Genomic DNA, 26,311 nt, shown 5'->3' with positions numbered 1-26,311 from the left:
TTAAATATTTGTTCTTTTAATTTTGCTGTATCCAAAAACCAGTTTGTAGATTGTCCTTCTAGAAGCTTTTTTATTCTTTCCCAAATTTTGATCTTACTAAGAGCTATTAATAGTTTCCACAAATCCTTATGTTTAGCTCCTACAATGAGCCATATCATTTGAGGTTGAGGTGCCACTATACCACCATGGTTCCAGATAATAGGAACTTTTGCTGTATTTTTTGCCATTTCTACCGTCTGACTGTTTTGTTCAGATCAGCTGAACGTAGTGTGGCTGTGGCTCGCAGACTGAGAGGTGCAATTCAAGCTAAACATCCCCTTAGGGGACCAATTAGTAATGATTCCATAGGAATCGTTGTGCAGCACCTCTGCCTGTTCTGCAATGCAATCTTACTAAACAAGTATGTTCATTTTTTCTAACTGGGTCCAATCCTGTTTACAAAAAGGTTTTTGAGGGTGGTATGCCTCAATTATAGTAGCAGATTTATTATGGTAAATACTGAGATCAGAAAGCATGTGTAACTGTGTTATAGAGTGATTGCATCTAGGCATTATTGCCAGCCAAGATTGATAAATATGCCCAATAAGTATAATTGTTCTCTGTGTCAGCCCTTGCTGAAGGAATACTCATGGCAGTGGTGATCACTGCTATCATAGCTACCATTAAATTACTCATTGTGACTGGTTGTACTGCTTTCCTCAGGTTTTCTTCTGCCATCTGTGACAGCTTCTTGATCTGTCCCCATGTGGGTGGCTGTGTTTGACGGGTGTTGCTCGTGACAGTTGGGGACCTCCTCAGCGTCAGTCTCGACATGGCTGCAACTAGGGGGTCCTCGGGATCCTCCCAGAATCTCTTCCTCGGCATCTGGCTCATGATAAGGTTTTAGGTGTCTTGATGGCATCCAAATCGGCTGTTGATTTGGTCCTGGAGAAGCACAAGCATAACCTTTACCCCAAGTTATTTTACCTATTTCCCAACGTTTTGTTATTGGATCTCTCCACCAAATCGGTTGTTCTGCTTCTGTCTTTGCATCTGGTTTCTGTAGATACTGTTCAGGTGCTGATAACATCTGGCCTTTGGACAGGCTCAAAAAATTTAAAGTTAATAATGCTAGATTCAATTGCATCTGTGGGGTTCCATATTCTCTATTTCCCCCTTTTGCAACTGCTGTTTTAGAAAAAGATTCATTCTTTCCATTATGACTTGTCCTTGAGAATTGTATGGGATACCAGTAATGTGTTTAATATTCCACATAGAGAAAAATGTAACTAGAGCTTGGCTAGTATAGCCTGGGGCATTATCTGTTTTAATAGAAGCTGGAATACCCATCACTGCAAAACACTGCAAAAGGTGACATTTAACACAGGCAGAAGACTCTCCTGATTGGCCTGTAGCCCAAAGTGAGAAAAGATATCCACACATACATGTACATAAGCTAGTCTCCCAAACGAGGGAACATGTGTGACATCCATTTGCTAAAGAAGAGTTAGGTTCCAGTCCTTGAGGATTAACTCCTCCTGTAAAAGATGAGGAATATACCATTTGGCAAGTTGGGCATCGTTGGATAATATTTTTAGCTTCTTTCCAGGTAGTGCTGTATCTGCGTTTGAGGCCAGAGGCATTAACATGGGTTAAATTGTGAAAGTGTCTAGCATTAGATATTGCATTAGCAACTAGGTGATCGGCCATTTGATTCCCTTCAGTCAAAGGTCCTGGAAGAGGTACATGAGCCCTAATGTGAGTGATGTAAAAAGGGTGCATTCTACTTCTAACTGCTGTTTGCAATTGGGTAAATAAAGTCATCAGTTGTTCATCTGTATGAAATCGTAACTGAGCATTTTCAATTAACTGTGCGGAATGAACCATGTATGAAGAATCAGAAATCACATTAATTGACATATCAAAAGCAGTCAATACCTCAATTACAGCTACAAGCTCTGCTTTTTGAGCTGAAGTATAGGGCGTCTGGAAAACTTTACTTTTCGAGCCAGAATAAGAAGCTTTTCCATTACTAGATCCATCTGTAAAACAATGAAAACGCTTAGCAGGCTGCAGGTTGTTTACTGCAGGAATTGTAAATGCAAGCCATTTACAGTCTTGCTCAGCTAAAGGGATAGCAAACAAACAGTCTTTTAAATCTATGACTAATTATTAAAGGCCAATTTTTTGGAATTGTAGCAGGAGAAGGCAGTCCTGGCTGTAATGCTCCCATAGGTTGTATAACTGAATTGATAGCTCTTAAGTCAGTTAACATTCTCCATTTACCTGATTTTTTCTTAATTATGAAAACTAGAGAATTCCAAGGGGAAATGTTGGAGCTCTGTGCCCATTTTCTAATTGTTCAGTAACTAATTTATCTAAAGCCTCCAGTTCCTCTTTACTTAGTGGCCATTGTTCTATCCAAATTGGCTTATCTGTTAACCATTTTAAAGGTATAGGTTCTGGAGGCTTAACAACGGCCGCCATCAAAAATTATTTCCTAATTTTTGGCAGGAACTTTGTTTTTCCACTTGAAGCGGTTTTTTCAAACCTTGCAAATTTTTTTTTAGTCCCATACCAGGGACATACCTCGTTTCATGCATTGTATGTTGATTCTGAGGGCTATATAATTGTTCTGGAATTAGAACTTGTGCTCCCCATTGTTGTAATAAATCTCTTCCCCATAAATTTATAGGTGCAGAAGTTATAATTGGTTGAATAGTCCCAGGTTGTCCATCGGGCCCTTCACTATGCAAAATATAGCTACTTTTATATATTTCAGGGGCTTTACCAACTCCAACTATGTTAAATTGAGCGGGTTGAATTGGCCAATCGGACGGCCAGTGCTGTAGAGAAATGATGGAAATGTCTGCTCCTGTATCTACCAAACCTTTAAATTTCTTTCCCTGAATAGTTATTTCACAAGTAGGACGTTTATCAGCAATTTGATTTACCCAATAAGCTGCTTTGCCTTGTTTGTTTGTGCTTCCAAATCCTCCTGTTCATTTAATTTCACTTTTTCCCATTCCCACATATGGCACAATCAGGAGCTGTGCTTTGTGCTTCCCTGGCTCTGCTTTCCAGGGAACAAAAGTAGATAAAACAACTTGAATTTCCCCATTGTAATCTGAATCAATGACTCCTGTATGTATTTGTACCTGTTTTAAACTTAAACTAGACTTTCCTAAAAGTAATCCTATTGTACCCGCTGGCAAGGGTCCACAGGCTCCTGTTGGGACCTTTTGTGGGGGTTCCCCAGGCAGAAGGCTCGCAGCTTTTCTGCAGCATAAATCTACTGCGGCACTACCGGCTGTGGCAGGAGACAGACATTGTACAGGGGTGAGGGAATGGCCTGAGCTGGAAATGCCCCGGTTTAGAATGGGGCCCGGGACGGGTCCCTCATGGCATTTCCCAAAATCGGGTTCCCATTTTTATCAAACTTAGAGTGACACTGAGTAGCCCATTGTTTTCCTTTTTTACATTTTGGACATATTTCAGGCTCAGCAGTTTTCTTTTTTCCCCTATCTGGCGGCCTGACTCGCTGATTTTTTTCTACATTCTTTTTTAGTATGAGCATGCTTCCCACAGTTAAAGCAAGCTCCAGGAAACGTAGTATTTCCTTTATCCACTCTCAGTCCTGCCATTGCCTGTGCTAGCAGAGTAGCTTTATGCAGATTACCTCCGATACCATCACAGGCCTTGATATAATCAACTAAGTGTGCTTTCCCTCTGATAGGTCACAGAGCAGCCTGGCAATGAGGATTAGCATTGTCAAAAGCTAATAACTGCAGTACTATATCCTGAGCAGCCAAATCTGCAATCATTATCTATATTATATATATATATATATCTATCATTATCTATCTATCTGTCTGTCTGTCTGTCTGTCTGTCTGTCTGTCTGTCTATCTATCTATCTATCTATCTATCTATCTATCTAATGCATTAGAAGCATTGACAGCAGTGTGATATAGCTTCAACTCTTGGATTTTAAATGCCATTTTCTACTAAGGGGAACTGGGATTTCTTTGAATTAGAAATGGCTGATTCAAGGGCTGGCAAAGTATGTGACAAAAAGGTAAGGAAGTGTTGAAGGAATCATTAGGACGTGTGAAAAGCATATAGGAGCTATCTTGAAGGGGTTTCTGCTTGCCAAATCTGGGCCAACTTGAGCATCAAATTAAATGACAGTAATAGCGGATCAAGATAAGTCTTTGATCTCATGTTCACATGGAGGAAGTCAGGGAGGCAGCCAGGCATGCTCACTCTTCTTCGGATTATGGCTTTCTAGCTTCATCACTTCATTGTTTCGCTGAAAATAATTCTGAACCTCAATCTGATATTTAGAAAACATCAGACAAATCAAAATTGGCCTATATTCTTCAAAAGTATCAAGTTCAGGAAACACAAGACGGGCTGAGGGAACTGTTGTACGTTGAAAGATGCTGAAGAAATGTGATGCCTAAATAGCATATGTGATCTGGGATTTGAACTTAGACGGGTGGGGGGTCATAATCCTTTATAGGACATTTTTGGGACAACAGGTGAACTGTGAATGTGGGTTTTTATTTAGCTAATATTGCTGTAGAAACGTTAAATTTTCTGATCATGGTAACTGTATTTAACTTGTAAGGGAATGTTCTTTTACTTGGGAAATGCACACTGAAGTGTCTAGGAATAAAGGGGCACACCAACTTGCTCTTAAAATATTAAAACATATTTATAAAACGTGTGTGTGTGTGTGAGTGTGTGTGTGTGTGCGTGCGCCTGTCCATGTGTGGAGAGAAAGATTGATAGATACAATTTACTGATAGAATGCTAAGGCAAATAAGAAAAATGGAATTACTGGTAAACCTTAGTGTCCTGGTTTAGCTGCTGTCACAAAGTCCCATAGACTGGTGGCGTAATAAACATCAGAAATTACAACTCTGGAAGCTGTGAAGTTCAAGATCAAGGTGATGGCACATTCGGGGTCTGCTGAGGACCCTCTTCCTGATAAAAGGCAGCTGTCTTCTTGCCGTGTCCTCACAGGGTGGAAGTGTCCTGTCCCTAATCCCATTCATGAGGGCTCTATTCTCCTGACCTAATCACTCCCCTGAAGCTCCCACCTCCTGATTGCATCACAGTGGGGGTTAAGATTTCAGCGTAGGAATTTTAGGGGGAGACAGAGATACAGTCTATAGCTCTGGGTAAAAGGTATACAAGGTGTTTCTTGTACTATTCTTGTAATATCGAAATTTTTCTGTAAGATCGAAATTATGTCAAAATAAAACATTATAAACAATATAAAAAGGAACAAAGGAATAATATAAAAAATGATGAGAAGATATTTTTCCAATATTGAAGTTTATATTAGAAACTGAGGAGCTCCTTTTTATGCTGTTAAATATTTATCCAATTTAACATTTGTCTCATTATGGCTTCTTGTTTATTGTTGGCCTTCTGGATATGTTGGTGCCACCTCATACAATCACAGACTCTCGGGACTAACAGAGGTCACAGTTTCCATGTGATTACTGAATTGCCTCTAAACTTTTTTGGCTAAGTAGCTGTCTAATGCATGTTTACATAACTAATTCATTTTAGCAGTCATGGGAACATTTGTCCTCCCGGTGAAACTAGCTTTTACTTTTCTTTCTGAACCAACAATTAACACTGATTTGTTCATTACCATTTTATTTTGTAAAATATTATTTCCCCCTAGGCAAGAGAGTGGCTTTCCCCTGGTTCCCAAACTGTGTTCCAAATGCCCTGAGGCACCACAGCAAATGTACAAGAGTAACTCAGGATATATTAAAATGTCATGGGAAACACAGTGGCATATGTTGGACAGAACCTGATGTAGCTTGACGTATGTTATATATATACATATATATACATATAGCTTGACAATGTTAGCTTGACATAGTTCAGTTTTAATATTAGATCACTACAGTTCTATCGTTCAGGTCTTATCTTTGTGAAGCTGTGTTTTTGGTGGTTGCTCAAATAAAACGCAAGTACTACATGAAATCAGCGTGGAACAGAATATGAAGATGGTGGTATCCAATTTGATTTGGGAAAAATGTGTAGCTCCCAGCTTAACTCTACTTTGGAATTTTAACTCGTCTCGAATTACGAATGCTGCAGTGATGCCCAGTATAAACTTGTTGTAGTTTCTCTTAGGAAAGTCATGAAGGGACTTTATGAAGTTAAAAATGCTGTAAAAATACAAGTTCTTAACATCTTTATTAGTATACTTATTGTAATTGTTATTAGTCAAGCCATAGAATTCATGTTTATTCAGTTAAATAGAAATTGATTCCTTTATCATGGGGTTTCCATAGAAGTGTCTTACAAGTATGTGATTTGACATTCACGTAATTTGTCTCCTCAGCTTTGCCTTTCATAACAGTCCTGATAAACAACAGAATGACCAGAAGGCTAACAACCAAATAACAATTTTGCTTATTCTTGTAGTACATTTGCATGTAATTTTACATTTTACAGTATATTATGGTTTGAGTGATTTGTTAACTATGTAGATAGACCTTTAATATTTGAGTTAATATGTCAATATAGAAATTATAGTAAAAACATTTTGCTGTCATAATACTTTTGCAGTTATAATGAGCAACAAAAGGAAACAGGATGTGCTAACATTCTATTAGATGAAATATTAGAATTTGAAGCTTAATATAAACAAGAAAAAATTTTAAAACCTAGGTCATAGCTTATCTCAGAAATTTAGTCTTGGAAAGGGAAAGCATTTTACAGACAGTATAATTCAGCCTTCTTATTATACAAATGAGAAAACTAAAGCCCAGAGACGTGAAATGAAACCTCATGATAAACTGTCCACATCCCAGCATGTCTTCTTGTTCTCACTTATTTGTAACAACCCATTTCCTGTCCAAAAGAGATGGAGAACAGCTGGTTATTGATCTCAGCACTGCACACAGGTCATTATTAAAGAGCCTGTTCTCAGAATTATATGCTAAGAGGAAGGAGTCAGCCGTGTATCATTTGTGTGGAGCCTGAATGACTGAAAACTCCCCTTAAGCTGGCTAATGCTTCTTTCTTCCACGTGGAAAATGAAGAATTCAGAGAATGTATTGGTTTATTTAAAAGAAATATCTAGTGATTTTTACACATGAAGCTTTTGCTTGGCTGGATCTAGGTGTTCAAAGTTGATAGACTTAGGTCTCTCACTATTGTTTGGCTCAGCTTTCTTTTAGGCTAGCTTCATTCTCATAGAAGCTCCTTTTAAAGACTGTGGGGTAAAGAAAATACAGAACTAGTGGTTGGAATAAGTGGAATAAGTAAGGAAGAGAGAGGGTATGATAGAGTAGCATATTTTATCTGAAGTTATTCAGAACTTGAAATAGCTCGAATAGGATCTGGTTACAGATGATAAAGAAAATAACCTAAGTTTTGGTGACCTCAAACAATGCTGTCATATTTTAGAGTCATTAGAATTTCAAGTGTTCATGATTTTTATGTAAATTCTGTAATTATGTAAATACCTATCAACAGGTACTTGGGTAAGAACAAGACTTGGACAAAAATCTGGAGCTAGAAAATAACTGAGAAGTTTTGGCTGTTAAGATTACATTTTAGCAATAAAAAGTCACAAAACTGAGTTGGAGACCAATGACTTACTATGGTCAAGTGTGCAACAAAGCAAGTAGGGCCCACAAGGCTAATGGGAGGGGGAATCAGCCCTTAGAAATGTTAGGCACCGCCCAGGAAGGCAGCAGACCTGAGAAGGGAATACACACAACCTAAGAGAACCTCTTCTACAGCCGAGGCTCTCAGTGCTTGGGAAGAGAGCAGGGAGTGGCTACCACAGGTAAAAGCCTAATAGTAGCAGTTAGTAGTTTTTGAAGTTTGAAATGCAGCCTAAGAATTGCTTGGCAGGTTTCTATTTTGCCGCTTTTGGTCATAGTAATTAATTGATTTATCCTGTTCTCTTTACTTGGGAAGCTCTTCCCTCAGATTTCTCCAAGTCTCACTTCTTCTGTCCCTTCCTACGTGGGGATCCTTCAGTGCGGAGTTCTGTCTGCTGCTGAGTATGTCTGTTCCAGAAGTGTATTCCCAAACTGCAGTCACCAGAGGGTGTGTTGGAGACCCCAGTGTGGCTCATTTTTGAGACAAACCTTGAGCTAAAACTTCATTGATCACCTGATCTCCATGAACCCCTTTTGATTGGTACTCCTCAGTGGAGTTTGGGTCTCTTAATAGTTAGTGCTGCATTCCAGCCTGGGCAACAGAGCTAGACCCTGTCTCAAGATAATAATAATAATAAAGAATTAATGTCAGGGTGGAGCTGACGTCCAGTAGTCCCCCAAATCTAGTAATTCTGCCTGCCCCCGTGATATTCAGTCACCCAGGCAAATGGCTGCCGACCTCTTTGGGAAAGGCAGGAGGAAGATCTGTGCTATACATTTTTGGTGGCATAGTAGGATTCTTCTCCAAGGGGACCTGCTTTCTCTTTCCTTATTTAAGGAGTTCTGGGCCTGTGAATTGGCTCATGTCTGGGAATTCAGTGAAATATTCTGACTTTCTCTTGTGGTCATCAAGTCAGATTTTTGTTCATTTAAGCCACAACTTTTCTGTTTAGACAAATGAAAAAAAATATGTCAATAGTCTGCGCCGTTCAGTTCCAGGGACACTGTTATCTTTGTTTTGTGTTGCTATACCGGAATACTACAGACTAGGAAATTTATAAATAAAATAAATTTATTTCTTACAGTTCTGGAGACAGAGAAGCCCAAGGTCAAGGTGCCTGCATCTGGCAAGGACCTTCCTGCTGCATCATCCCATGGCAGAAGGTGGAAGGGCAAGAGATCACGCTTTAGAGAGAGAGGAAGGTGGCCAAACTCATCCTTTTATTCAGAAACCCACTGCTGAGATAACTAATTCACTCCCCCAGTAATGGTATTAACCTATTTATGAAGACGGGGCCATCATGACCTAATCATCTCTTAAGGTCCCACCTCTCCGTACTGTTGCGTTGGGGATCAAATTTTTAACGCAAACTTTGGGAGGTACATTTAAACCATAGCACTCCACCCCTGGCCACCAAAATTCATGTCCTTTTAACATGTAGTGTACACATTTCAGTGGCCTCAAAGTTCTTAAGTTGTACAGCATCAGTCCAGGGTCTCATCTAAATCAGGTATGAGTGAGACTCAAGGGACAATTCGTCCTGAAACAAACCTTCTTCAGCTTTGAGCCTGTGAAATCAAAACAAGTCATCTACTTCCAAAATTCAGTGGTAGAAGAGGCATAGGATTGATATTCCCATTCCAAAAAGGAGAAATAGACAAGAAAGGGGGTAACTGGTCCCAAAAGTCCAAAACTCAACAGAGGAAACAACATTAAGTTTTAAAGCTGGAGAATAATCTTCTTTGACTCAATTTGTCCCATTCTGGGCACACTGGAGTTGGGGTTAGGCTCCCTAGGCCTTGAGTATCCTTGCCCTTATGATTTTTGCTGGGGCCAGCCCACACTTCAGCTCTCACAGGTTGGTGTCTCATGCCTGAGCTTCTCCAGAGTTGTGGAGTTGGTAACTCTACATTTTGGAGTCTCTGAGATGGCCTTGCTCCCAGGGCTTCTCTAGGTATTGGCCTACTGGGGGCTGTCTGTGCGGGCTCCACTGCTGTAACAAGTTTGTCCGTGGGCCCCAGGCTGACTACTACATCCTTTGAAATCTAGGTAGAGGCTGCTGTGGCACCACAGCTCATGAAGCCTGCAAGTTTGCAGTTAGTATTATGTGGATACCACTATGACTTACTGTTTGTGCCCTCTGAAGGTGTGGCAGGAGCTGCACTTGAACTCACTTGAACCGTGGCTGGGGCTCACATTGTGAAGGAATGCAGGGAGTAGAGTCCTTAAGTTGCCTGGGCAGCAAAAGCTGAGGTTCCATGGACACCTTCTGGAAACCTTGCCCTCAAGGCCCTGCTCTGAGCCTGTGGTGGGAGGGATGGCCTCCAAGATCTCTGAAGCAGCTTTATGGTCTTTCTCCCATTGTCTTGATGAATAGCACCCTGCTACTTTCTGTCTCTACTTAGGTTTTTAGAAAATGGTCAGTTGCCCATAAACCCTTGGTTTGTTCTGCTAAACATGTCTTTTCACACTTAACGTATCTAGGCTGCAAATTTTCCAAATCTTTCCATTCTGCTTCCCTTTTAATTACAAATTCCACCTTTAATTTCTCTCTACTCACATCTTACTATGTGCAGTTAAGAGTAGTCATGAAGATCCTTCATTATTTTGCTTAGAAATTTCTGCCACCAGATACTTGAGTTCATTGCCCTTAAGTTCTGCTTTCTATATAGCCCTGGGACATGGCTACAGATCAGTCAAGTTCTTTGTGACTTCATAAGGATGGCTTTTACTCCAGTTGCGAGTATCTTGTTCATTTCCATCTGATACCTCATCAGAATAGCCTTTATTGTCCATGTTTCTATCAGTATTCTGATTGTGACCACTTAAGTAATTCCTAAGAAAGGTAAAGCCCTTCCTACAGCTGTTTTTTTTTTTTCTAAACCCTCACCAGAATTTCCCTTGATGCTTCCTTTATTGCAGTCTAGGTTCTTTACAGCCATTTCCTTCAAGTTCTTTTGTCCTCTACTCATTTCCCAGTTCCAAAGCTGCTTCCACATTTTTAGATATTTGTTATTGCCACAGCCCCACTTCCTGGTACCAGTTTTCTGTTTTAGTCCATTTTGTGCTGCTGTAATAGAGTATCTGAGACTAGGTAATTTATAAAGAACAGAAATTTATTTCTTACAATTTTGGAGGCTGGGAGGTCCTGGGATGAGGGGCCTTCATTTGGTGAGGGCCTTACTGCTGTGTCATCCCATGGCAGAAAGGAGAAGAGCAAGAGAGAATGTACAAGAGAGAGAAGGGAAGGGGACCAAAGATATCTTTTATCAGGACCCCACTCCCGTGATAACTAATTCACTCCCCCAATAACATCATTATTCCATTCACAAGGGCTCTGCCTTTTAAAGGTCCCACCTCTCAACACTTGCATTCAGGGTTAAGTTTTCAAAACATGAACTTTGGAGGAAATGTTCAAACCATAGCAGTTGTGATCAAGCAGCCATGCTGAATATTTCTGTGACCAAATTCCTCTGCAGCTTTGCTTCTGTTGGTTGTGCTGACAATACCCACCTTGTCTCTGGATGTTAAGTGCTCCCACTTGTCCTCTACCACATCAATATCCCATCTTCTGGGTGAATTCAAGGAACCCAGCCATATGGCAGCAGTTTCCTCATTAATTCCTGGCCTGCACCAGAGCCAGGTATATATTCACATATGCCAGGGCTCCCCCTGTAAATGTGTTTCTCATGGCCTTGGTGAAGGGGGGCATCCCTAGGACATAGCCAGGGGATTGCGAAACTAGTCTCCCATCATCAGCCAAATCTAGCATTCCAATCTTGCTAAGCCTTTGAATATATACCAGGGAAGTTCTGAGGTTTCAACTTCATTGAGCATTGGCCACTTTTGGGAACAGATTTCAGCCAACCTAGCACTAGCATACTGAACCCAAGTAGGTGCTCTCATATAAAAACCTGCCTTATTTACGTATTGATTCTCTTCCAACTAGAATGTGAGCTCATTGAAGATAATATCTTTAATGGTTTGTTCCACTGTTCTAGGGTCTCTGATGACTAGAAGAGAGCCTCCTCTAGTGCATTGTCAGGATGGTCAGTGGTATTTGTCCAATCATTGGTTGGTTACTTACTTGTTCATTCAACAGATATTTATTGAGTATAGTGCTCAAGAAAACAGCAAGTAATAGACCTTTAGAAGTGGAGGTTATCTGAATGATCAAGAAGCAGAAAGATGGCCAGGGTTGTGACAGTGAGGGTAGACAGAGTGGGGTGTGAGACGCAGTTTTGAGCTGGATAGTAACCATGCTTTGCAGCACATGGTGTGTTACTGTGCGAGGCGTTTTTGTTTATTATTCCAAGTGCAGTAGGAAGCCCCAGGAGTGTTTGAAGCCATGGAGAGACAGAATTTTATATTTCGAGTTTACAGTGCCTGTTGTTTTGAGACTAGGTTTAGTAAGACAAGTTTGGGAGCAGGGAGATTAGTTGGAGGACTGTTTTTTATTCCTTTAGAGAAGACACATTATAGCTTGAACTGGAGCAGGGTGGGGGTTGACATCTCCCTGTCCACCTGCTGTTTCCACTGGTGCCATGATGAAGCCTTGTGCTGTGGACATGCTGTGGGGCTGCTGCTGTGGGGACAGTGGCTGCAGTGCAAGCGCCTAACTCTTGCTATGGTGGCAGGGATGAGAGCAGACCAAGGTGGAGCCATATAGATGGAAAGGAATGGAAAGTTAGAGTGGCACAGAGGGCACTTGTTTCACCCAGTGCAGCGACTGCAGCAGACTTTCCTAGCATCTTACAGAGGTGCACTCAGCAAGCTCTTGTATGATATTATTTTTACTAATCAAGTTACCTAATATATATAAAACTTTAGAAACAAAGTTAAAATTTGTAACACCTACTATTTTAATATATATAGGCTGCATAGACGCAGTCTATGGATAATTCTAAATAAGAAGTCGGCCGGGTGCAGTGGCTCATGCCTTCAATCCCAGCACTTTGAGAGTCTGAGGCAGAGGGATCACTTGAGCTCAGGAGTTTTCGAGACCAGCCTGGGCAACATGGTGAAAGCCTGTCACTACAAAAAATACAAAAATTAGCCAGGCATGGTGTGGTGGTGTGTGCCTGTAGTCTCAGCTGCTTGGGAGGCTGAGGTGGGAGGATGGGCCCAGGAGGTGGAGGTTGCAGTGAGCTGAGATAGTGCCACTGCATTCCAGCCTGGGTAACAGAGACAGACCCTGTCTCAAAATAAATAAATAAATAAATAGTCATAGCAATTTTAATTTTCAATCTACTTGTTTTATAAAATAGATTATAATATTTAAATCATGTGCTATAAAAGCATAATGAATAACTTAGTATATTAAGTCACATATATTAATAGTATGTCTTACAGACTAAGGAATTTTTGTTATATTTTATTTAAACTCTGTTTTTATTTTTGTTATTTTTAATCCAAAGTACCAAGATACGAATATGCAGGGAGTTGTATATGAACTAAACAGCTATATAGAACAACGGTTGGACACAGGAGGAGACAACCAGCTACTCCTCTATGAACTGAGCAGCATCATTAAAATAGGTAAGAAGCATTTTGTGTTCCTGTTAGAAAAAATGGGCAAAGATTCTTTTACAAAAAGCAGCAAAAACTACTTACTAAGAGGCAGATGAAAGTCATTTATATTTACTTCTATTTCTGGACTAAATTTCAAGTGAAAATATTTTATTATGAAACTACCAGAGGTGAGTCAAACCTAAAACTTTCTAAATTGTCTAATCCCAAATAAGTATCTGCCTGATATATACAGGTAATATACTATGCCTTCTAATTAACACCTAGTTTCCTTTGGAAAGCATAGTTTTATTGAATTAAATCACATCTTTATAAAATATATTAATTTTAAAGAGAGACTAAGCATTTTAAATGTATTTGGGTAAATGACAATTTTATATACCATTTAAGAAATGGTTTATGTTGTGAATAGAATGGGGAAAGTTAGAAAAGTACTATTTTAGAAGGATACACTTGTTTTTAGGACATGATTTTTCAGAAGGATACCCACTATGACAATTGTATCTTTTGTTTTTTAATTTGAAAATAAAAATATAAATGATACCAACCATAATAACATTTATTTTGTATTTAACCATATGCTAGGCACCTGTCTATGCATATTATATGCATTAACTGACTTATTTTTATTACGGTCTCAGGAGGTTGTTTTTATTATTGCCACCATTTTACTGATGAGGAAGCTATAGAACAGAGAGGTTAAACATCTTACCCAAAGTCACACAGGTAAAAAGGAGTTAAGTAGGGGTTTAATTGAGGCAGTCCCTCCAAGACTTATGCTATTAACTATTATAGTTGCCTTCAGATGACCCTGAGGCAATTTTAGGTAAGTTAAATTATGTTTGCTTCAGTGACAATTATAGATGAATACATCAGCTTTTTGGGTTGATACTTACTTTGGTTATTTAATATTATAAATATCACTTGTGGTATTTTAAAAACTTAAAAAATTAAACACAATTCTCAAATTTAAAAAATATTCAATAATTCTGAATAAAGTTCAACAAATATGTTACTATGTGGTACGTTGACTGCTATATGCATTTGAGCATATCGTCTTAAATTTTATACTCACTGATGAAAAATGTAGAGGATATTTTAATTATGCTATTAAGTAAAGCCATAAGTGATTTTGTTCCATTTACTGCATGACCATTGATTCTGTTAACAAATCAATTTGAAAGACTCACATCTGCCTCTCACCCTGGAGGATGCATACATGTTAGATTCTCCCACTGAGCTCAGTTTCTTCCTTTTCTTATTACTTTGGCAGCCACAAAAGCCGATGGATTTGCACTGTATTTCCTTGGAGAGTGCAATAATGTAAGTATCTAAATTTAGATTTTGGTGCTCTAGATAAGAAAATATCATAAGCTCCTTTAAAAAAGTTATAAACAACCGACATTTCATGATTAAGTACTTTTCATTTAAATCATTTTGTGTTTTGTTTCTATATTTGGTTATTACCAGTCAAGAATTTTACTGACATGGCAACATTTAGGCATAAAATCGTGTGTGTGTGTGTGTGTGTGTGTGTGTGTTTCCTTTGGCTTTGGTTTGTGGTACCCTATGTTATAAATGGCATTTCTAGATTTAGTGTTGTGTACAAAAGGTATTTGGCACTGTGAGCTGGGATGTTGTAGAGGAATGCCTGTACCCTCTCTACACATGATCTACAGTAGAATTAAATGAGAACAGAAAGTTGAACATTTTCTGGGTGATTTTTAAAGTTTTTTGCAGATGACTCTAAAAGTCCTAGGGCTTTGTGTCTAGATCCCTAAGCTGCCTTACTGTAGTAGGCTCAGGCCAGTCAAGGAATGGGGATTCTCAGCTGTGGCTGTTCCAGTCTTCTGCCACCAGGCCGGATCCTGCGTTTCTGGTCTAACTTACCTGGAGCACAGCCCGCCGGAAAATGCAACATAGAAAGGCACTTTCAAAAGTATTTCAAGATGTTCAATTACTGGCATTTGATTTTTGATACAGTATTAAAAAGTATACATATTTTAGCATAATCTGAGCCAATAATGCTAATATTCATAAGTTTAATGTATAAATTCCCTCATAAGTTTATTTCACACATTTTTGCTTCACATTTCTTATGTGTTAGGCATTGCTATCTTAGATTTGGAATGTATTTTTGCAATATGCTACCTGTATTCTTGAGTAATCAAAATATGTATTATGTACATTATATACAATGTTACTAGGAATAGAGACAAAAGCATTCTGAGATTTTTAATAGGACTCTTAAATATAACAGTTTTGCAAAGTGCGAAAATAGTTGCACAAAAATATTTATTGGCTGATTTAATTAACTTACAGCTTCTTATTCATTTCCATGGCCACTGTTTTCCCTTGTATTGTAACAAATTACGCTTGTTACCTCAAAAATGAAAGGCTTATTTAGGGCAAAGACATTTTCTTGTTCATTCTTGTATTTCCCAAGCCCCTCTCCTAGTGCCTTTCATATAAACCGTCAGATAAGAATGTTTATTAATTTGCATTATTCAGATATTACTACCACTTCTAAATAAACTATATTTCAGACACTGGTAGTATTCTAAAATGGCTAAGCTACGAAAATAACAAATGGATATTACTTCTTTTCGGTGCATTAAAAATTATTTTTAAAGTGTCAAAGTTTTTATTAAAAGTAATTTCTTTTAGAAAAATATTCTACAGTTTGCCATTATTTTTTAATTGGCTGATACGTGTGGAATGCAGTCTGTTGTGGTCCACGTCACATTACTCCTTCTGAGCCGCCTCCAGCAGCCCCCCAGTTGGCCACGCAGCTGTGCTCACCTCCAACCCCTTATCCTCGGGTCTCTAGTTCAGATCGGGGTGGACATGTGGCCCATGAGGGCCCCAGCAGATTCTTTGCTAAAACCTGTATCTTGGACTCAGCAATTCTAGCCGTTCACCTGAACAAAAGTGGTAACAATCCTGAAGTTGAGGCTGCCTCTACAGGCTGGTCTCTCCTGCCCTGTGGAAAGAGAATAGAGACAGCTGCGGGCAGAGACTGAGAGGTGCAGGCAGCAGGAACCCTATGGCTACAGTGGACGGGAGCCCAAAATGCTGACTTTGCGGGCTTGGATTTAGGTTACAAAACCCACATTCTTAATCACTTGGCTTAAAAAATTTTATTTTTTTTTTTTGCTTTATTTGCAGACTTCTTTATACACTGGCCTCAATGAAGTAGTTCCTCTTAGGATTCAGCAAAACGCTTTTCTATCTACAATATCTAAATTGTAATTTTATGTATCAATTTGAATTATTTAATCTTTACTTATCTTTTACTTTAGTAACTTAAAGGACTGGTACAATATCCTCTTAGTTTTATTCTGGCTCCTTATTCTAAACTCCTAAGGTCAGTCCATTTACTGGGCATGCTTCTCTCTAGGGGCACTGATTCCCTGTTCCTTCTTTCTTTCCCGCATCTCAGGGACTGAGTCTGTCTTCTTCAACTTAATATCCCTATGAACAGCAGGGTACATAGCAAAATTGTAGCTGTCTCTGAGCTTCCCAAGTCAGATCCCACTGTACACTGTATTTTGCTTTCTCAACATTATATAAGTCTCCTTCATGGAACATAGCTGAGTCTGTGATTACATGTTTATCTGTGATTTGAGTGGTTATTTGTTTATCTGGCTTTCTTGCTAGAATGTCAGCTTTATGAAGACAGATACCTTATCTGCCTGGGAGGATAATTCTTGGGGATAATTACTGTGTTTTGCTCACTCTATTTTGCCCTTTATGCATTCCACCTAGATAGCTAAGGCCTTGTTATTTCCTTGACCCAGGGATTTCTGTGGGTAGGAAGAAGACTTTGGCTGAGAAATCTTAAGTTCACTCAAGTGTTTTTTTAGATGTATCTACATGATTACTACTTTCCTTGTTCTTCATTTCTTCTTGTATCTCAAGTCGTCCATCTGGGATCATTTTTCTTCCATCTGAAATGCATTCTCTAGAATTTCCCTTAGCGAGAGTCTGCTGATGGAAAGCACTCTCAGTTTGTGTTTGTGTGAATTTGTCTTCATTTCACCCGCTCCTTGGAATATATCTTTGGTAGATAAAGAGTTCAGGTTGATAAATTATCTCTCTGAATATTGACTAAAATAAAGATACTGTTTTTAAATTTATTTTGGTTTTCATTATGGTTTTTTATTTCCTGTACATATTTTCAAACTTGTCTTTTATTTCTTGAAATACATTAACTATACTTCTTCTATGTTCCTTTGAATTTACAGTTTCTTGGGCTTTGTTTCGTCCAACTCTGACAGATGGTGACTTTTTTGCTTATGTGTTTTATGGTTTTCTTTTTATTTTTCCTTTCTCTCTCTCTCTCTCTCTCTCTCTCTAACTGTGAATTCTATTCTTCCATGGGCCTCTTAAATGGATACTCTCGAGGCTTGTTAGAAGTGCCTTTCTAGTTTCTTTCTTGGAGATAGACATGCATTTGTTTCTGCTAGTCACTTAAGGTACTACCAATCCAAAACCATTTTAAACTAAATTATCTGGTTGAGATGAATTTTCAGGCTATAAAGTAGTATGGCTTCAAGAGTCCAATCCACATGATGCACAATTATGACTTCTCAGAGGAGATTGTTATTTTCCCTCCAGTACTAATTTCAAAATAATCTGGTTTCCTTGCAGCCTCTTTGCTGGGGTAAGTGTATTTGTCCTTCAACCCAAGATGAATGTTTGGCCTGTTGCCTGTCCTGGCCCTCTAAAGGGGTCTCTATTTAGACTTCCTCACAGAAAGGCCCCAACTTTTCTCTCCTGTCTCTCAATCTCCGTGTGGCTTTCCTGGGAGAAGATCAGTCTATTCAGTCATTAGTAATTCCCTCAAGAGAAAGACAGCTTTGGGATCTGGTTACCTCCCACAGTTCCTTTATTTACTTCCTTTTAGATTTCTGTGGATTCCTTCCATTCTTCTCAGCCCAGCAAAGCAATATAAAAGATGGGTAAAATATATTTTATGCAGCCTTTAAATAAATTTCAAATTGTTTTTTCAAAAGTGTCAGCCAAATGATCTAATCTGCTGTATCGCTGGCAATAGAAGATACACTTCTAAAATATAACCATATTAAATTAAATGAAACATCTTTTGCACAGGTAAGCAGATACATGTATATATTTTTGTATTTCGCCTTTTGCACATGAAAGACAGCATAGTCTACATAATTGTCAATCTTTAAAAAATTGTCTCGATTTGGAATCATAGCAAGAAAGTCTTAAATAACTCAATTTCACAACAAAAATTATATACTATAGTGACAAAATTATAATAAAACACAAATAGACTGAGAAAATTTTCTGTCCCTATCAACAAATACTAAGGGTTAAAAAAAGAAAGAATTATACAGTTTTTATACTTATTAAAGTATGAATTTCTTCGCAGTAGAAATAATTAAATTTCTGAAATTGATGTAATGAGAAATATAACAAATAACATTTAAATATGTCAGAAGTTCTAATAGAATTTAAAAACGTGCATTCATATAAGCAAGGAGGAAAAAAGTTCTATGTGTTTTTTTCACATAGAACATTTAGCAGAAGATAAAAACAAAACTAAATACTAAAAAGCACTAAAATTAAAACATAAAATATTATTATGGAAATCATTATGTGATTATAACAAAATTACTTGTAAAGAAGATCCAACTGTTAAAAGAAAAAAAACTTAGATCAGGTTAAAAAACCAAACTGTCTTTTATTCTGGTACATTGAAGTTTCTGAAGCAAAATGGAGAAAATGGACAGAAAAATAGTAGTATTTTTAATTATTGAGAGATCAAGAAAACAGCTTAGAAGAGGTTATCAATACATTATTATTTATCCAAATAATACACATACTAAACTCAGTATATTAGGTTAGGATTTACCAACTTGTGATTCCTTTTCTTTTCTGGGCTAGACCCTAACTTTAATGTATTTAATTTCTGTCTAAGAATTCTTCATGGGATTCCTATAATGACTAAAAACAAAGGAAACTGGAGGGCTCAAAAGACAGGAAGATGAAGGAAAGTTTGAAACTTCCAAGAGACTTGTTGAATGGTTGTGACGAAAATGCTGACAGTGATACGGATAGTGAAGTCCAGGCTGATGTGGTCTCAGATGGAGATGAGGCCTGGCTGCTCCTAGCCTTGCACAGTCATATGTGTTCATGAAGAGAAGGTTTTGTGTTTAAAAGGGAAGCAGAACGTAAAAGTTTAGAATATTTGTAGCCTGACCGTGTTGTAGAAAGGACAAACCGATTTTCTGTGGAGAAATTCAAGCCACTGGCTGCAGAAATTTGCATACGAGGAGCCGAATATTAATCACCAAGACAATAGGGAAAATGTCTCCAGGACATTTCAGAGATCTTCACAGCAGCCCCTCCCATCACAGGTCCAGAGGCCTAGGAAAAATGGTTTCATGGACCAAGCCCAAGGCCTTGCTGCTCCAAACATGGTGTCCTGTGTCCCAGTCACTTCAGCTCTAGCCGTGGTACACAGAAGGCAAGAGTGTGGGAGCCTCCACCCAGATTTCAGAGGATGATAGAAATGCCTGGATATCCAGGCAGAAGTCTGCTGCAGGGGCAGAGCCCTCACGGAGAACCTCTGCTAGTGCAGTGCAGAGGAGAAATGTGGGATTTGGTCCCCCACACAGAGTCCCCACTGGGGTACTGTCTAGTGGAGCTGTGAGAAGAGGGCCACTGTCCTGCGGACCTTAGAATGGTAGATCCACCAACAGCTTCCACCATGCGCCTGGATTAGTAGCAGGCATTGAACACCAGCCCATGAAAGCAGCCACAGGGGCCATACCCTGCAGAACCACAGGGGCAGAGCTGTGGCTGTGGACTTGGGAGCCCACCCCTTGCATCAGCATGCACTGGATGTGAGACATGGAGTCAAAGGAGATTATTTTGGGGCCTTAATATTTAATGACTGTCCTACTGGGTTCTGGACTTGTACAGGGCCTGTACCCCATTTGTTTGGGCCAGTTTCTTCCTTTTGGAATGGGAGCATTTACCCAATGCCTGTACCCCAAACAAGTAACTAACTTGTTTGTGATTTTAGAGGCTCACAGGTGGAAGGGCCTTGCATTGTCTCAGATGAGACTTTAGACTTGGACATTTTTTTTTTTTTTTTTTTTTTTGAGACAGAGCCTTGCTCTGTCACCCAGGCTGGAGCACAGTGGTATGGTCTCGGCTCACTGCAACCTCCACCTCCTGGGTTCAAGCAGTTCTCCTGTCTCAACCTCCTGAGTAGCTGGGACTACAGGTACATATCACCATGTTCGACTATTTTTTTCTGTATTTTTAGTAGAGATGGGGTATTGGCATGTTGGCCAGGCTGGTCTCAAACCCCTGACCTCAGTCGATCCACCCGCCTTAGCCTCCCCATTACAAGCGTGAGCCACCATGCCTGGCCTAGACTTGGACTTTCAAGTTAATGCTGCAGTGAATTAAGACTTTGAAGGACTGTGGGGAAGACCTGATTGGTCTTGAAATATGAGAAGGACATGATATTTGGGAGAGGCCAGAGGTAGAATGATATGGTTTGACTCTGTTGCCCCACCAAAATCTCATGTCAAATTGTAATCATCACATATCAAGGGAAGGACCTGGTGGGAGGTGATTGGATCATGGGGGCGGATTTCCCCATTGCTTTTCTCATGATAGTAAATGTGTTCTCGTGAGGTCTGATGGTAGGTAAAAAGTGTGTGGCACTTCCCGCCTTGCACTCCCTCTTCTGCCACCATGGGAAGAAGTTCCTTGCTTCCCGTTTCCCTTCCGCTGTGATTATAAGTTTCCTGAGGCCTCACAGTCATGCTTCCTGTTAAGCCTGTGGAACTGTGAGTCAATTAAACCAAACACCGCATGTTCTCACTCATAGGTGGGAACTGAACAATGAGGACACATGGACACAGGGTGGGGAACATCACACACTGGGGCCTGTTGTGGGGTGGGGGGAGCGGGGAGGGATAGCATTAGGAGATATACCTAATGCTAAATGACGAGTTGATGGGTGCAGCACACCAACATGGCACATGTATACATATGTAACTAACCTGCACGTTGTGCACATGTACCCTACAACTTAAAGTATAATAATAAAAAAAATTAAACCTCTTTTATTCATAAATGACCCAGTCTGAGGTAGTTCTTTCTAGCAGTGTGAGAACAGACTAATACACAAACCATTTACTAAACTGACAAAAAAGAAATATATATGTTTAATAATCTAAAAACAAATAATAGATATAATGAAAATTAGAAATTATGAGGGATTATGTTTACTAACAAATGTGAAAACCTAGATAAAAATGAACAGTTTTCAAGGAAAATATAAATTATCCTATTAAATACAAATGATAATAGAAAACTTATTAGTCCAGTAGCCAAGGAGGAAATTGAAGACACTGTTGAAATATTACCTTTCTGCAAACCAGTAGGGCATTGATTCATCTGACTGTTCTTGAGCCCCAGTCATCACCAGGCACCATGTTAAACCCGGGGAGACAGTGATGAGCCCGACAGCCTGGGCTCCTGTACCCGCATTGTTCATTTGCTACTGAGGCAGCCCTTTAAGAAGGAGAATTCCTGTGCTCGTTATACTTTTTCAGAACTTGGGAAAAAAGGAAAACTTCCTAGTAAGTAGTTTAGCATTGAAATAATTTTGGATCTGGAGTTAGATTGTGTGAGTTCTGTTTTACCACTTAGTAATTGTGTAATTAATAATTGTGTGACTTGACAAGATTCTTAAACTTTCTAAACCTTAATTTACCATTTACCCTCCATTAGTTAAATGTTACACCATAAATGCTGTTTGTTTAACAAACCGTTTAAAACATCTGCTAAGTACCAAAAAACTGTGCTAAATTGCTGAGCATACAAAAACAAAATTATTTCTCACATCAAAGAATGTATAAGCAGTAGGGGAGATAGAAAAATCAGCAGCTAGTTACAGCACATGATTTTTATGTGCTAACAGAGAGGAGCTCAAAGGCTCTGTGACCATGAATTCGATGGGGCTGCAGCACATAAAAACAGATTGGATGATGAGAAGACAATATTTCAGTGGGGATTTAAGACCTCTCAGTAGATGAGAGGGGAAAGTAAAGGATGTCTCTTGGGCAGAAGAAGCAATTTCTGAGAAATCTGGGGTTAGCAAAGAAAACAACTTATGTTGTATCCTGGCCCATAGCAATGTCTGCTATAGACAAAGTGCTCTTGAGATGTTTTTGGGAAAAAATAATTTTTTCATGACTGAATTTTTGCTTAATTCAACTTTTATTGTTTGTATGGCTATGCTTAGTTACATGTATAACATACCTGATGATAGTATCTTTATAGTTTTTCCACTGTTATCTATCAGAGTTGTTTGTGAAAGCTGAAAACCTTATGTACTTTATACTTTAAAATTTTTAATTCAAAAGTAAATTTATTGTATATATATATATAGGTTATTTTAAAAACAACCTTTCCATAATTTACAGGTTTGATAAGTTAGTTAAACAGTTGTTTTGTTATTTTTATTTATAAACATGAGCAACTAGATGACTCTAGAGTCCTAGATTCATAGAGTGTTAAAGCTAAAAGAGACACTTCCAAATTATTTAATCTAATCTTTTCATTTTAGTGATGAGGTAGCCAAGGTCTCTTATGGGTAATGACTGTCCGAGTTCACACAGCTAGTCAACAACTAAAGGCTAGGCTCCCATTCCAAAGTTACTGTGCTTTCTACAAAGAGCAGCTATGCTCTTTCCACCGTAATACAACACGTCTTTTAAGAACATAGCTTCCCCCTGCCCCTTTGTTACTTGATTTTTATTACCCACATACTGGGAAGAACACATTTTAGTTTTGTTACTTGGGATACAATTGGGAAAAATGGAAGAGCAGAAGAATCTTAAGTTTTACCTTCAGTATGTATACATTAAACATTCACCAGAAATACTGCATTCTTCATATCCAGAGCTGGTAGTTTATAGTAATTGTTTGCCTTCTTCAAGTGCACAGTGAACTTCAGCAGATTTATTTTTAAGAATTATGGAAACAAAGTTAGTCATCCATATATCAAGTTCCAGGTAAATGTGGGAGCTATTTACTTACGGCCGTCTACATAGATGTAAATTTGTTTACTATCCAGTGCCATCTAGTGTCTAAAAGGATAATAGCTTATTGGTAAACCTAAATACTTTTTTTTTCTTCTTAAGAAGTGTTTCCAAAATTTAACTGGTTGTAAGTTGAAGTCTTAACATTGAAATGAAGTCTCATGAATAAAGTGATGTTTGAATTGTGCATGGAAAGAAAGATGAAAGCAAATGTTAACCAAGTGAGGTAAACATCTATTTGGCTGATATCAATGAATTGGATTTTTCTATTTCATTAAAAGATGGTGTTTTTATAAATTGTACTAGTCTATTCTCTTGTTCATTTTCCACCAAATCTATTTATTTCCCAAAATTTACATTTTTGTAATTTGAATGCTTTTTAAGTCCTTTACTGAACCAACCTATTGATTATGACTTGTGCGCCCAATCTTTTCTAGTTTAAATTATCTCACTTTAGAAATAGATATAAAAATTTGCTGTTACCACAAAAATATTAGCTACTTCATAATGAGTTTCTTAGAAAAATTTAAAAGCTGATTCCTCCCCTAGGACTTCCTGGCCTCTGATAGGATTGATTTTCTGCTCTTTGGGCAATCTCATCGATGCTAGTTGAGAGGTGGAGGGACTAGTGGTCACCATCACCTCTGGAACTCTCAAGTGCTAAAGAACTGCAGCGGCCTTTGGTCGAGTAGATATCCTGAAGGCAGTTACTTTCTTCTTTGGAAATGATAGAGGTGGCTAATGTTTGAAACTTTAAAGTTTTTCCTTGTTTTTTAGTTGTGGTTTTTATCTCTAGCCTCTAAAAGATGCTTGTCCTAATTAAAGTTTTTATATATTTATACAGTAGTAGAGCAGGAATTAATCTTAGAGACTCAGTTCAACACTGGATATTATAGATAAATTTGATATTGTAAACATATGTATAAGAGCCTTAATACTTCTTAAAATAATGTCTGGTGTTTCCATTCATCCTTCTATGAAAATAGCATAAGGTTTTTTATCTTATTAATCTGAATATCCCAGTTAAATCTTTAAGTCAACAGTTATATTGATTTTGAAAAATGAAGTCCCTATTTCCTGTGTAAATGTCTTTAGAACTTATTTACGTTAATCATTTATTAATGATTAATGCCTTCATGTAGATACTTCACCAATGAGAAATGCAAAGTATATATCTTTTTTTTTTTTTTTTTTAAGCAGGGTCTCACTCTGTCACCCAAGCTGGAGTACGGTGGCACAATATCAGCTCACTGTAACCTCAAACTCCTGGCTTCAAGTGATCCTCCCACCTCGGCCTCCTGAGTAGCTAGTGCTACAGGCATGCACCACCTCACCCAGCTAATGTTTTTATTTTTTGTAGAGGTCAGATCTCGCTATGTTGCCCAGGCTGATCTTGAACTCCTGGTTTCAAGCTGTCCTCCTGCCACAGCCTCCAAAAGCCCTGGGATTATAAGCATGAGTTACTGCGCCCAGGCCAAAGTGTATAGCTTATAAAATAAATCATGATTATTTTGAAATACTAAGAACTAAGTCAGGATTTGCCTTGCCAAGTCATAAAATGTACTGTAAACCTTTTATAATAATTAAAACAGTGTGGTATACAAGTAAACCTAAAGATACAGAATTGGGAATTCGGAAACAGACCCAAGTATATTTAAGGATAGGCCAGGCACAGTGGCTCACGCCTGTAATCCCAGCACTTTGGGAGGCTGAGGCGGGTGGATCACCTGAGGTCGGGAGTCCGAGACCAGCCTGACCAACATGGAGAAATCCCATCTCTACTAAAAATACAAAATTAGCTGGGCGTGGTGGCACATGCCTGTAATCCCAGCTACTCGGGAGGCTGAGGCAGGAGAATCGCTTGAACCTGGGAGGCGGAGGTTGCAGTGAGCCAAGATTGCACCATTGCACTCCAGCCTGGGCAACAAGAGTGAAACTCCGTCTCAAAAAAAAATTAAAAATTAAAAATTAAAAAAAGCGTCTTTGAGGATGAAGTGTATGATGAAGGTGGCAGTTCAATGAGTGGAAAAGTGATAATGATTCAGCCCATGACATCCTACTTGACAGTATCTGTGGAATAAATGGAATGTAAATTAACGTTTCCCTAGCGCTGAGTATGTGTAAACTTCAACCTCTATTTTAGACTTTTTATATTTATAACAGGTAGCTACCTATCAATGCATTCAACTGCCAAAATCATTTAAAAATATGCTTCTGCAAAACATGTGATTCTAACCAGTGACTGATCCTCAATTAGAAATGGATATTAAAAAGGAGCTTTTGCAGGTAAATTGTTTGGAGGCAAACAAAACAAAAACAACACAGAAGGGAACCACTAATATAAAGGAGGGAAAGTGTAGCCATGAAAACATGTCAGAAACAACAAACAAGTGTGTGTTGTGAGGTTAGGCTTCATTTTCCCTTCTGCTGGAGTTTTGGGCCTTCATATCACAATGTATTCAATGTTTGGTTAGCATTTATCCTCAGCTCTCATTGGAAACATTTCTGTTGGGTTAATGTGAACAAAAATCATGAGCTAATTAGGAAAATAAGTATAAAGTTTCCACTATAAAGTATTACTCAATTTTTGATAATTTTTTTTAACTACATAGAGAAGTTTTTCATATTCTAGCAAGTAGTTGAAAGACTTCTAAACCTTTTATTTTCAGCAAGCGTAATAAATAGAAGAGCTTTCCATACACTCTTGGGTACAGTATTTGCTTATCTGTTACTTGTGTATTGTATGAAACCTACACAGAAGCAATACATATTTTATAATACTGACTATATGATCATCTAATAATGTAGGAATGTATAAGATAGTCTGTTATTATTGGATTATGAAGCTATGTATAACTTAAACATGTGATTAAATTCAGCCTTGAAGGGCCTATGGCTAAGTCATAAAAAAAAAAGATGTGCGTTTTACATTTTCAAACAAACAAATGCAGCCAAAAACTATGACTCCCTCCACACCCCCCGCAAAAAATACAGAGTTACTGTTGGAAGCTTGCTCCAGAGTTCACCTTCTGTTTTTATTATGACATGTTCTTC

At 38.5% G+C, this 26,311-nt stretch overlaps 1 protein-coding gene across 13 annotated transcripts in view; it reads left to right on the top strand.

Moving 5' to 3' along the window:
* The window catches only part of PDE10A (phosphodiesterase 10A), a 660,764-nt gene that overhangs the window by 524,645 nt on the left and 109,808 nt on the right, over positions 1–26,311 (top strand). For 12 of the 13 annotated variants that reach the window (XM_011535387.4, XM_017010194.3, NM_001385079.1 and 9 more), the window contains 2 exons: positions 13,046–13,166; positions 14,431–14,480. In XM_011535387.4, the coding sequence (XP_011533689.2) occupies positions 13,046–13,166; positions 14,431–14,480 (171 nt within the window). Of the gene's footprint in view, positions 1–8,712; positions 8,831–13,045; positions 13,167–14,430; positions 14,481–26,311 lie in introns of all 13 variants that reach the window. The other variant, XM_047418101.1, reaches the window with a different exon arrangement.

Source organism: Homo sapiens, chromosome 6 (genome assembly GCF_000001405.40).
Source record: "Homo sapiens chromosome 6, GRCh38.p14 Primary Assembly".
Classification (NCBI taxonomy): Eukaryota; Metazoa; Chordata; class Mammalia; order Primates; family Hominidae; genus Homo; species Homo sapiens.
Note: the sequence above shows the minus strand (reverse complement) of the source record. Positions and strands in the feature narration are given on the sequence as shown.